Genomic DNA, 12,396 nt, shown 5'->3' with positions numbered 1-12,396 from the left:
GAGCAGCAGCAGTGAGCCACAGCTCCTGGTCAGCCGCATGATAACAAGGGCAGACAACTGATACTCTACAGTTTACTGTGTTGATAGGTTATTTTGCTCAACTTTAGGCTAATGTAAGTGTTTTCAGTACATTTAAGGTAGTTTAGACTAAGCTATGATGTTTGGTAGGTTAGGTGTATTGTATCTATTTTTGACTTAATGATATTTTCAACTTTCGATGAGTTTATGGGGAAGTCACCCCATGGCAAGCTGAGGAGCATCTATATAAAGAGGTAAAAGAGCTCAAAGGAAAGAGGCAAAGAATGCTTCTGGCTGGGAAATTTGGAAAGCTTCTTGGTTTGGATCTTGAAGAATAAACAGTATTTTGTCAGCTTGAAATTTCTAAGAGGAGGCTATTTCATGCAAAGAAAATGGTTTTAAGTTTGGATTATTGTGAAAATGGAAGCAACAGTAAAGAGGGGAGGCTAGTCAAAAGGCATATAATTTTTAATGGGGAAAAACTAAATAAATTTTAATAAATTAGAGCCAAAATGTAGCAACCAACTAGTCATAGCTGTTGCTACTTTTACAGCATTTGTATATCATGATTTAAATTTATATATGATATAATAGCTATAATTTGTTTTCAGATATTGAAAGCAAATAAAAGCAATCTTTGTTTTGTGGTACATTTTGTTGTGTTTTTTAACTTATGTTTCAACAGGAACAATATAAACAGGCATTCCCATCACAGTTAAAGAAACAAGAGTCATCGAAGAGCCTGAAGAAGGTTATTGCAGCTTTGTCAAATCCAAAAGCAACCTCTAGTTCACCAGCACATCCAAAACAAACATTAGAAAACAACCACCCAAATCCATTCTTGACAAATGCACTTTTAGGTAATCACCAACCAAATGGAGTTATTCAAAGTGTCATTCAAGAAGCTCCTCTAGCACTTACTACCAAAACTAAAATGCAGAGCAAGATTAATGAAAACATTGCTGCTGCAAGTAGCACCCCTTTTTCCTCACCTGTAAATCTGAGTACAAGTGGGAGAAGAACCCCTGGCAATCAGACACCTGTAATGCCCTCTGCCTCTCCCATCCTGCATAGTCAAGGGAAGGAAAAAGCAGTTAGCAATAATGTAAACCCAGTAAAAACACAGCATCACTCCCATCCTGCAAAATCTTTAGTGGAACAATTCAGAGGAACAGATTCAGACATTCCCAGTAGTAAAGATTCTGAAGATTCAAATGAGGATGAAGAGGAAGATGATGAAGAAGAAGATGAGGAAGATGATGAAGATGATGAATCTGATGACAGCCAATCAGGTTATTTTCATTTTAAAATTTAAAGTATTTCTCTAAATGCTATGTGAACCAAACATTTTAAAGGGTTTCTTAATTCAGACTTAAAATCAGCGTCATTTACTATGTTTCACACAACTTTGTGCATTTCTATAATGAGCTCATAAAATACAGGAGTAATTGATACTGGAAATCCTAAGTCAGATTCTCAGCTTGTTATTCATTTGACATTAAACAAATAATCACTTTAGGGTGAATACAAATGATGCATAAATTAAGACATAATTTCATCAACTTGCTTAATTTTTATTTCATTCAGGACCACTCTTTTTTCATTTCTTCTGCTACTTGTTAAAATGCATCACCAGCTGTTTTGAACACAGATAAAATTATAGTCGTCATTCAGAAAGTACCAAAAACCTAAATCTCTATGAATGTTCATCAATAACAGAAAATTTGTTAAATAACATATAGAGGACTCTCTGATTTAATTTTGAGTCACTTTTTTTTTTCTTTTTGCTGGGTCTAGGGTTAACTTCTTTGCATTTTTATTTTCCTTCCCTCTCCTCATTCCACAGAAGACTGAAAACATAAAATACAAGAGAGCTTAAATTGCGAATACAAAAATGAAATACATATTATAAATGTTTGTGGATTTGTTACTGGTCAACTACAGATTCAACTAATTTTTTTTAGCAGCTAATATGAATAGGAAAATATACTCAGCTGTACAATTTAAAGTGTCTGTAAGTTAAAAACAAACTTCGTGCTCAGGGTAAAACCACTCTTCCTGGGGTTTCCATAAAACAACTTTGTATGATAGATCATAAATATCAATATTCATAACTTTCAAAACTAACTTTTATAATGAATTTCAATATAGGCAAATGGTATAACACAAACCAGAATTCCACAGAAGCTATTGTACCGTGAACTATGAGGAAACAGTCTAAGTATCACTCCTGTGTTTATCAAGTTTAATCTAGTAATAGATTTTACATATGTAGAGGAATGGATGCATCATACATAGAACTACGTAGCTAGAACAAACTTAAATTATTGAATTATCCTACTATAATTATTTCTGTAAGCCTGGTTTTTTGAGAGGCCTGAAAAGCCTGATGAAGTCTTGTATGTAAATAGAAAAACTGCAGCCAAAAGACCAAGAATCTCCTGTTGAAAATTGTCTTCTTTTACTCCAAAGCCCAAATGGAAGTATGCTGGTAGTTTCAGATTTCTCTTTCTCATATTTGACTTACTGTACTTCATAAGCCATTGGAATCTGTTCATTTGAACAGTCAATTTAATCCCCTCTTTTACTTTAGTTTCTCTGTTAAATAAAAAATTATTTTGATGCCATTAAGCAGAACTCATCATGTGAATAGTGTCACATGAGAACTGTTTAAAGTGTTGAGTAAAACTTACACTTAAAAAATTGTTTTTGAAGATTGATAGCCTAAATACACTGTTCTCAAATAGCTTATAACATTTACTCTGTAGGAAAATTGCTCATTTGAGTTCTCATTCACAGGTGCTGGTTCCTGAGCTAGTCCATTTAGATACAAACTGCAAATTATTGGTGATTATCTAGTTATAATATACAAATGCTTCTTTTACTTCCCAGAATCAGATAGTAATTCAGAATCAGATACAGAAGGATCAGAAGAAGAAGATGATGATGATAAAGACCAAGATGAATCAGATAGTGATACTGAAGGAGAGAAAACTTCAATGAAACTGAATAAAACAACTTCCTCTGTCAAAAGCCCTTCCATGAGTCTCACAGGTCACTCAACACCTCGTAACCTCCACATAGCAAAAGCCCCAGGCTCTGCTCCTGCTGCCTTATGTTCTGAATCCCAGTCACCTGCTTTTCTTGGTACATCTTCTTCCACACTTACTTCAAGCCCACACTCTGGTACCTACACTTTATTTTTATTATTCTAAAGTAGAAGTCAAACCATAGCAAGAATTTTTATTGATAAGAGTGTTCTGGAGATGATCTCACTGGAATCAAGATTAAAGTTAGATTTTAGGTTGGCTAAGGAAGGTGAGCCTGTATTTTCAAAGGATATGACTCATTACCTGGTCTTTTTTTTCCCCCCGAGTTTCCAGTTTAAGGATCTGATTGATGATAGTTCCTTTGGTTTTGAACCTTTCTGCTTTTGTGTTCAGTTTGTGCTTCTAGAATATAGAATTTAATTGACAGTTGGACTTTTTTGTACAGTTGACCCTTGAACAACGCAGGATTTAGGGGCACTGGCCCCACACACAATCGAAAATCTACATCTAACTTTTGGCTCCTCAAAAACTTAACTGTTAGCCTACTATTGACCAGAAGCCTTACTGATAACATGAATAGTCAATTAACGTATGTTGTATGTGTTATATACTGTATTCTTACAATAAAGAGAAAAGAAAAATGTTAGTAAGAAAATCATAAGCAAGAGGAAATATATTGACTCTTCATTACCTGGAAGTGGATCATTATAAAGATCTTCATTCTCATCTTCATGTTGAACAGGCTGAGGAGGAGAAGGATTGGTCTTGCTGTTTCATGGGTGGCAGAGGCGGAGGAAAATCTGAATATAAGTGGACTCACACAGTTCAAACCCATATTGTTCAAGGGCCAACTGTACTTTATAAAAAAGCTCACTTGGTTACTTAAGATGCTATCTGCCCAATATATAGCCAGTGTCTTTTCTATTAGAGAGTAGCATTCTTATTCCATTAACGTGCCATGTCCTTTTTTTTCCCATTTGACTTTTTATAAATTCCTAGAGGTCTTCATTAAACATTTATACACTTAATATTCCACAACTACTCTCAGTTCTCATTCAATGTCTAAGAAAATATAGATGTATATAGTAAAATATTTTGTTGTTTTACTTATTTCACTCTCCTCTTGTCAGTTTCTAGCTTTACTTTCATTTACCACATACCAATATGATAGCCTACTAATTTTAGATGAACTTATTTGTGTTTGTGAAACTTGATCTCGGTCTTAGAAAATTTTTACATAAAATCATAATCCTGTTCCTTGGTGGCTTAGGTTAATTAAAAGACCTGGTAGTGTTTTTGACTATGGATTTATATGGACATAGAAATTAAATCGTCTTTAAATATATGAGCCAGCTGTTGAAATTTTTCAGCATCCAAAAACTCCTATTTTCAAAGTCAACAGTTTAAATAGATTTTCTGAAACCTCTATTTCTCTCCTGCTTCTCTAGCCATTTCTTTAATAATAAAATGAGAGGAAAGGTGTATATTTTTACCTTGGATTGTATTTTCTTTAGAGAGAAAAACTAGTTATCCTGTCATTCAGACCCAAAAGAAGAAAAAAGCCCCCTGCCTTATACAGTGTTTTATTGAAAACCATCTAAAAATAATGTATAAATTACAGAAATACACTAAATCCAAGTTATTAACATATACTTTTTTAAAGAAAAGTTTCTAAACTATCAATATTATTATTTATATTAATGAATGTTTTATATTAACCAATTGAATTTTTTTAAAGGCACTTCCAAAAGAAGAAGAGTAACAGATGAACGTGAACTGCGTATTCCATTGGAATATGGGTATGCAAAATAAGGTTTTCCTTTTTCTTTTTCCCCCATATATTTATGCAAGTTTGATGTATACTTGATTTCTCATTCTCTACAATTAATAGAAGAAGTACATAGCTGCATAGTATTTATTAGAGCAGAAGAGCCGGAGCAAAGGGCAAGGAATTTGGTATATCAGAAAACTGAAATTAATCCTGTTTCCTGGAGGTATGGCAGAGCTGGGGTGGGATGATACAGCCAAGTAGGAACATGACTGAAAAAGAACCAAGAGCAAATCAGATGGCAAAGGGCAGGAGTACATGAGACTGTGAGAAGTTTTTGTGAAGATAGAATTAAAGGACAGTAAAAGCCACTTTGGTCAAAATTGAGGGACTCAACCAGAGTTTGGCTAAAATGGTTTAATTAGAAATGACAGCTTTTAGACTGGATGTACGTGAACCCCAAGCAGCAGAGAGCCAGGTTTACTTTACTCCTCCCTTAAAGCTTTTCAGATGTAAAAAATCAGTACACATTAACATGTTACTGAAATGTCAGAGTACCCAAAGTAATCAAGTATGATTTCTAAAAATTTTGATGGAGTTTAATATATAAATTGAATAATTAATTTTCTAGTTGAATTAGCTAAAAATCTAAATAATTTTGAGAGTTAATGTATTTGGGTTGTTTGAGGAGTTTATTTTTGTTTTCATTTTTTATGTTTTCTAGAGAACATGTATACTTTAACTTATTTTTAATTTTTAAAAGCTTTCTTGAAATTAAGTATGTCATAACCTTCATTTCTGTTATGTGTAGCTGGCAGAGAGAGACAAGAATAAGAAACTTTGGAGGGCGCCTTCAAGGAGAAGTAGCATATTATGCTCCATGTGGAAAGAAACTTAGGCAGTACCCTGAAGTAATAAAGGTACATACTTTTCACCAAATAATGTACATTTGGTGCCTATTAAGCATGATCATGTACAAAAAAAAAGTGTACTCCTTTCTCAGATAAAGTTCCTTGATACTAAATATTCTCTTGTATGGGACTATTGTACTTAACCTAAATTGATCTCCTATAAATTTAGAGCCCCTTGATAGAATATGCAAAACATTAGTGTCCTGAAGCTAGCTATACATCAAAGCTGGGTTGTAATTATTAAAACCTGAAGTGGAAAAATATGTGATTTTTTCAGTATCTCAGCAGAAATGGAATAATGGATATCTCAAGGGACAATTTCAGCTTCAGTGCAAAAATAAGAGTGGGTGACTTCTATGAAGCCAGAGATGGACCGCAGGTATCCACTTTTTAAAAAGTATAGTCTTTGAACCAAAAAGTAGTACCATAACCTAAATGAAGTAAATTTCACTACACTCTGGAGCATTGCCTTTCTTTAATTAGTTCATATGGCTATACATATAACTTTGTGGTAAGCACTCATTAAGGCCTCAATTAACTATGTTTCAGTAACAAGGAGCTTTGACATAATAGGTATCTTTTTCATATTTAAGTAAATTTTTTCTGTTTATTAATTCAACCAATAACTTTACAGTTTATATAGGTATAAAAGCATCTGCATCTTCATATGAAATATAGGAAAACATTAGTTTTCTGAAAAGTACAGCTAGTTTTAAAAACTAATTTGAATATGAAGACCCTATTATTATAAGTCAGTCCAAAAGAGGATATGTATGCCCTAGTGTTTTGGAAGAATCTTGTCCATTTGATTATGCCACGCTATATGATGCATTTTCACAAGTTTGATAAGTTTTTTTTTGTCATTTCTTAAAATTAGGTGAATGAAATTTCTGGTTTTTGCAGAAATTCAGTTTTTACATTAAGTGGTACACATTTCTGAACATATCACCACAGCTCCCTTTGAGCTTACAGTGTTAAGTACACATCCTCACCAGTCAGCAAAAAGAACCCACCAAGGAGATCTCATTTCCTGTATGTTTTCTTTAATGCTTTCCCTTTGTTCCTTAGTTGTATTCAGCTGCATGTGCTTATTATTCCCTTTAGCTGCATTGAAAGGGGTCCCAGTTAAGGAGTGATGAGACCTAGATTCTTGTTAATCCGTGAAATACTCTTGTAATTCTGAACAATAACAAAATAATGCCCCCTTTTCCATCCACTTTGTTATCTGCCAAATAGAAACGATTATAATTACACTTCTTGTCTCATAGGATTATGGCAAGATTAAAATGAGATCATATGCATAAAAATGTTTCAAAAGGCTAAAATGCTCAGCCAGCTGAAGTTGATATTTTCCTTCTTCCTTGAACCTCTCTCTCTTCTGTCCCATTATAATGCATAGAAAAGTTTTTTGGCAATTAATATTTTCTTTGTGAATAGGGAGCTTTTCTATCCTATCTTACCCTTTAATTTTATAATTTTGAAATGGAAAAGGTCTCCCTCATTCTGTAAGAGGTTTATTTTGAGTTTGGAAGCTTAAAGGAATTTTTTAAGGTCACACACAAGGCTGAGACATAACTAGAACTCAAGGTTTCTGAAAAAGTAATCTTTTGCATACATCATGTAACCTATTTTCTATTGTAGTCCATGACTTTTAAAGAAAGAAGTTATGTCCAGATCTACCTGTCTCTTTATTGGTAGTTCTAAAATGTCAAAATGGGTTTATCTGAGATTTATAGAAATATATGGAAATATATTCTAGGGTTTTCTATTTTTTTAAAAACTAAAGATTTTGACTTAGACTAAATCTGTCACCAGATTCTTAGAATTTTAGTGAACCACAGTGTTACACATTCTGTATACACGATATCAGTTTTAAAGTCATAAAACATATTAGAAACTTTAATCGTTTTAAAAGTCTTTGTTTCATGTTATCAGATTCTTACTTGTATTATTTATGCCAAAGATGTCTTTGTGATTTTAAGTTCACTAGATTTTTGTTCGGAGAGGAAAGCTAATTGCTATTTAGCATATAAAGGATTTTTAGTTTTATATCAGTGATAATTAGACCTAATCTATAAAGCCTCATTACACAGAGTAGAATGTTCCTTGACATGCATTCACTTTTTATTAAATATAATCAGTGTTTTCCAAATGCATACTGTCTTGTTGAGATCAATTCCAATCAAGGAAATAGGATGAATTACTAAAGCCAAATATGTTAAGCTGCCAACATTTCAGCAGAATGCTAGGGGAAAACATTCGTAATTTTGAGAGCATTTCTTTTAGCTAAAACCAAAATTAGTACACAGGAATTCAGGATACTTTTAGAAAACAACAATTAAAGGTAAGTCATCCAAAAAAGTGTTCTAGTTAATTAATTAGAGATGCATATAGTTATAAAACCATGTACATTTTTATATACTGGATTGTGTGATTAATAGGTTTAAGCATATGGTTAACTGGAAATGTATATCATTATATAAGAATGTTCTCTGAAAACCAAGATTATATAATTTTGTTATAGTAATTATGATGTGAAATAATTTTGATCACCCTAAATTTTGTAGAAGATGTAAAATATAGTGTGACACAAAGCTACTGCTACCATGCAGTGATGATCATACGTATTTACAATATATCTGCTTTTATGCAAATTGTGTAAGTGGTTTGATGATGAAACATGTTTAAAAAACTGGATATTAAAAGACTAGAAGGAAATGTGTCAAAACTAATGATGGATGTAATGGTGATAACAAAGGATTTTTTTTGCTTTCTACATTTTTTGCATGTTGTGTCTTTTCTAAAATTTGCTTGTTTTATGTATATAATGTGAAAAACAGGCCGGGCATTGTGGCTCACGCCTGTAACCCCAGCACTTTGGGAGGCTGAGGCAGGCGGATCACTTGAGCTCCGGAGTTCAAGACCAGCCTAGCCAACATGGCAAAACCCCTTCTCTACTAAAAATACAAAAATTAGCTGGGCATGGTGGTGGGCACCTGTAGTCCAGCTACTCAGGAGGCTGAGGCAGGGAGAATTGCTTGAACCTGGGAGGTGGAGGTTGCAGTGAGCCGAGATCAGGCCACTGCACTCCAGCCTGGGCGACAGAGTGAGACTCCATCTAAAAAAACAACAACAGAAAAACAATTTCCTGTCTTTTAAAACTAAATACCCCTATTCTTTGTAATTCAATAAAACTGAGAATTCATAGTTTTCCAAATGCATGGAGATTGTACAAAATGATCTTAAATGTTGCCACTACAGTTTTCCAAGCTTCATGTATCTATTGTGATGTTTGATAGCAAATGAAATGCTGTATTTGTGGATTCATTAGTACAGTCAGCCCTCCATATCTGTGTTTTCTGCATTTGCGGATTGAAGCAATTGTGGATTGAAAATTCTCAGGAAAAAAAAATGTATCTGTAGTCAACATGTACAGACATTTTTCCTTGTCATTATTTTCTAAACAATATGATGTAACAACTATTTGCATAACATTTACATTGTGTTTACTATTATAAGTAATCTGGTGATGATTTAAAGTATATAGGAGTATAGGTATAGGTTATATGCCAATACTGTGTTATTTTTATTCAGGGACTTGAATATCTGCAGATACTGGTATTCATAGAGGGAGGTCCTGGATACTAAGGGACAGCTCTATTCTTAATCACTCTCCTATTAAAACATTTTCCTGGGAAGTATATTTTTTTCATCATTTTTTAATCTTAAAACATATCCCAAAACCCCCAACGTTAGTTCTATATGTTCTAATTTTACTTAACACATAACAAAAATTGCATCAGCAGAATTCCAGTTCTCCATATATTATATATAAAATTTAGGAGATAATACTTTCTGCTAGAAGATAATACCTGCATTGCAGAATTCTGGGTTTTTCTCTAGTTTATTGAGATAATGATTTATTCCTTCCAGTAGTATAATTTACATAAAAGGCCATTCAGCTCAACATTAAATACTAAAGAAGTAAAAAAGCTAATTGAAAACAAAAACAAGTCCCCTCACCCCCAAAGTCTATACAGCAACCTGTGATAAATCTGAAAGAGAAGCAACAGCCTATCAGTATTTTATTTCAGAAAAGATAAAATCTTTAATTTTTCTTATGTTTAAGAATTTCTTTGTTGCTAATATTATTTTTAAAGAAAAAAAGCCCATAATTGAAAAAACTTTTTTCTTTAAAAAGTAATGTTATTGTGGCATATTTACATGCAATAAAATGAAATCGTTTTTAAGCATGTAGTTTGATGCTTTTTTTAGGGACACAGTGCTTTATTTATTTTTCTCTCAACTTTTATTGTAGGCTCAGGGGTACGTGTACAGGTTTGCTAAGCGGGCAAGCTGTGCATCACTGAGGTTCAGTGTGCAAATGATCCTGGAGCACAGTACCCGATTGGTAGTTTTTCAACCTTCAGCCCCATCCCCCGCCACCACTTTCCCCGCTCAAGTAGTCTCCAGTGTCTACTGTTCACATCTTTGTGTTTGTGGATATTCAATGTTTAGCTCTCGCTTGTGAGAACATGTGATATTTAGTTTTCTGTTCCTGCATTATCTCACTTAGGTGATGGCTTCCATATGCATCCATGTTGTTACAAAGGATAAGATATCATTCTTTCTATGGCTGCATAGTATTCCTGGGTGTATATATACCATTTTCTTTATTCAGTCCACTGTTGATGGGCATATAGGTTGATTCCATGTCTTTGCTATTGTGAATAATGCTGCAATGAACATGTGAGGGCATGTGTCTTTTTGGTAGAACAATTTATTTTCCTTTGGGTATATACCCAGTAGTGGGATTGCTGGGTCTAATGGTAGTTCTGTTTTTAAGTTCTTTGAGGAATCTCCACATTGCCTTTCCACAGTGGCTAAACTAATTGACATTCCTACTAGCAGTGTATAAAGTGTTCCCTTTTCTTTGCAACCTTGCCAACAACTATTGTTTTTTGACATTTTAATAATAGCCATTCTTTTGTTTGTTTGTTTGTTTAGATAGAGTCTTGCTCTGTCACCCAGGCTGGAGTGCAGTGGTGCCATCTCGGCTCACTGCAAGCCCCGCCTCCCAGGTTCACACCATTCTCCTGCCTCAGCCTCCTGAGTAGCTGGGACTACAGACGCCTGCCACCGCGCCCAGCTAATTTTTTTGTGTTTTCAGTAGAGACAGGGTTTCACCGTGTTAGCCAGGATGGTCTCAATCTCCTGACCTCATGATCTGCCTGCCTTGGCCTCCCAAAGTGCTGAGATTACAGGTGTGAGCCACCACACCCGGCCAACAATAGCCATTCTGACTAGTGTCAGAATGAGATAGTATTTCATTGTGGTTTTGATTTGCATTTCTTTAATGATTAAGGGTGTTGAGCATTTCTGTGTATATTTGTTGGCTCCATGTATCTTTTTTTCAGGAGTGTTTGTTCATGTCCATTTTTTAATGGGGTTATTTTTTGTTTGTTGAATTAAGTTTCTTACAGAGTCTAGATATTGCACCTTTGTCAGATATATAGTTTGTGAATATTTGCTCCCATTCTGTAGGTTGTCTGTGATAGTTTCTTTTGCTGTACAGAAGCTCTAGTTTAATTAGGTCTCACTTGTCAATTTTTATTTTTTTTGCAGTTGCTTTTAGGGACTTAGTAATAAATTCTTTGCCAAGGCTGATGTTCAGAATGGTATTTCCTAGGTTTGTTCCTAGGAATTTAAGTCTTTAATACATGTAGAGTTAATTTTTGTATATGGTGAAAGGAAGAGGTCCAGTTTCAATATTCTGCATATGTCTAGCCAGTTATCCCAGAACTATTTATTGAATAGGGGATTTCTTTCTCCATTGCTTGTTATTGTTGACTTTGTCAAAAATCAGGTGGTCATGGATGTGCAGTCTTATTTCTGAGTTCTCTGTCCTGTTCCATTGGTCTGTGTGTCTGTTTTTGTACCAGTACCATGCTGTTTTGGTTACTGTAGCCTTGTAGTATAGTTGGAAGTCAGGTAAGTGTGATGCCTCCAGCTTTGTTCTTTTAGCTTAGATTGCTTTGGCAATTTAGGCTCTTTAGGTTTCATATGAATTTTAGAATAGTTTTTTCTGTTTCTGTGAAACATTACGTTGATGGTTTGATAGGAATAAGCATTGAATCTGTAAATTACTTTGGGCAATATGGCCATTTTGACAATATTGATTCTTCCTATCCATGAGCATGGAACGTTTTTCCATTTCTTTTTGTCTTCTCTGATTGCTTTCAGCAGTGTTTTGTAATTTTTGTTGTAGAGATCTTTCACCTCCTTGGATAGCTATATTCCTAGGTATTTTATTCTTTTTGTGGCTATTATTGTAAATGAGATTGCGTTCTTGATTTGGCTCTCAGCTTGGATGCTATTGGCGTATAGAAATGTTATTGATTTTTGTATATTGATTTTTTATTGTCAAACTTTACTGAACTCGTTTATCAGTCCTAGAAGCCTTTTGTGAAAGTCTTTAGGGTTTTCTAGGTATAGAATCATATTGTCTCTTAAGACAGATAGTTTGATTTCCTCTCTTCCTATTTGGATGCCTTTTATTTTTTCTTGTTGAATACCGTGGATATTTTGCTTAATCATTTTTTGATTCAAGATATTTCTGGGCTTAAGATATGATTATATATGTATTTAT

General features: G+C 34.0%; 1 protein-coding gene across 48 annotated transcripts in view; it reads left to right on the top strand.

The window, feature by feature from the left end:
* Positions 1 to 12,396, top strand: part of BAZ2B (bromodomain adjacent to zinc finger domain 2B) — a 397,131-nt gene that overhangs the window by 278,376 nt on the left and 106,359 nt on the right. For 26 of the 48 annotated variants that reach the window (XM_047444047.1, XM_047444046.1, XM_047444040.1 and 23 more), the window contains 5 exons: positions 704 to 1,310; positions 2,911 to 3,204; positions 4,807 to 4,867; positions 5,648 to 5,756; positions 6,025 to 6,126. In XM_047444047.1, the coding sequence (XP_047300003.1) occupies positions 704 to 1,310; positions 2,911 to 3,204; positions 4,807 to 4,867; positions 5,648 to 5,756; positions 6,025 to 6,126 (1,173 nt within the window). The remainder of the gene's footprint in view (positions 1 to 703; positions 1,311 to 2,910; positions 3,205 to 4,806; positions 4,868 to 5,647; positions 5,757 to 6,024; positions 6,127 to 12,396) is intronic. The other 22 variants (XM_047444052.1, XM_047444057.1, XM_047444056.1 and 19 more) reach the window with 3 other exon arrangements.

This window comes from Homo sapiens, chromosome 2, assembly GCF_000001405.40.
Source record: "Homo sapiens chromosome 2, GRCh38.p14 Primary Assembly".
Lineage (NCBI taxonomy): Eukaryota > Metazoa > Chordata > Mammalia > Primates > Hominidae > Homo > Homo sapiens.
The sequence above is the reverse complement of the archived record's forward strand: the minus strand, read 5'-3'. Positions and strand labels throughout refer to the sequence as shown.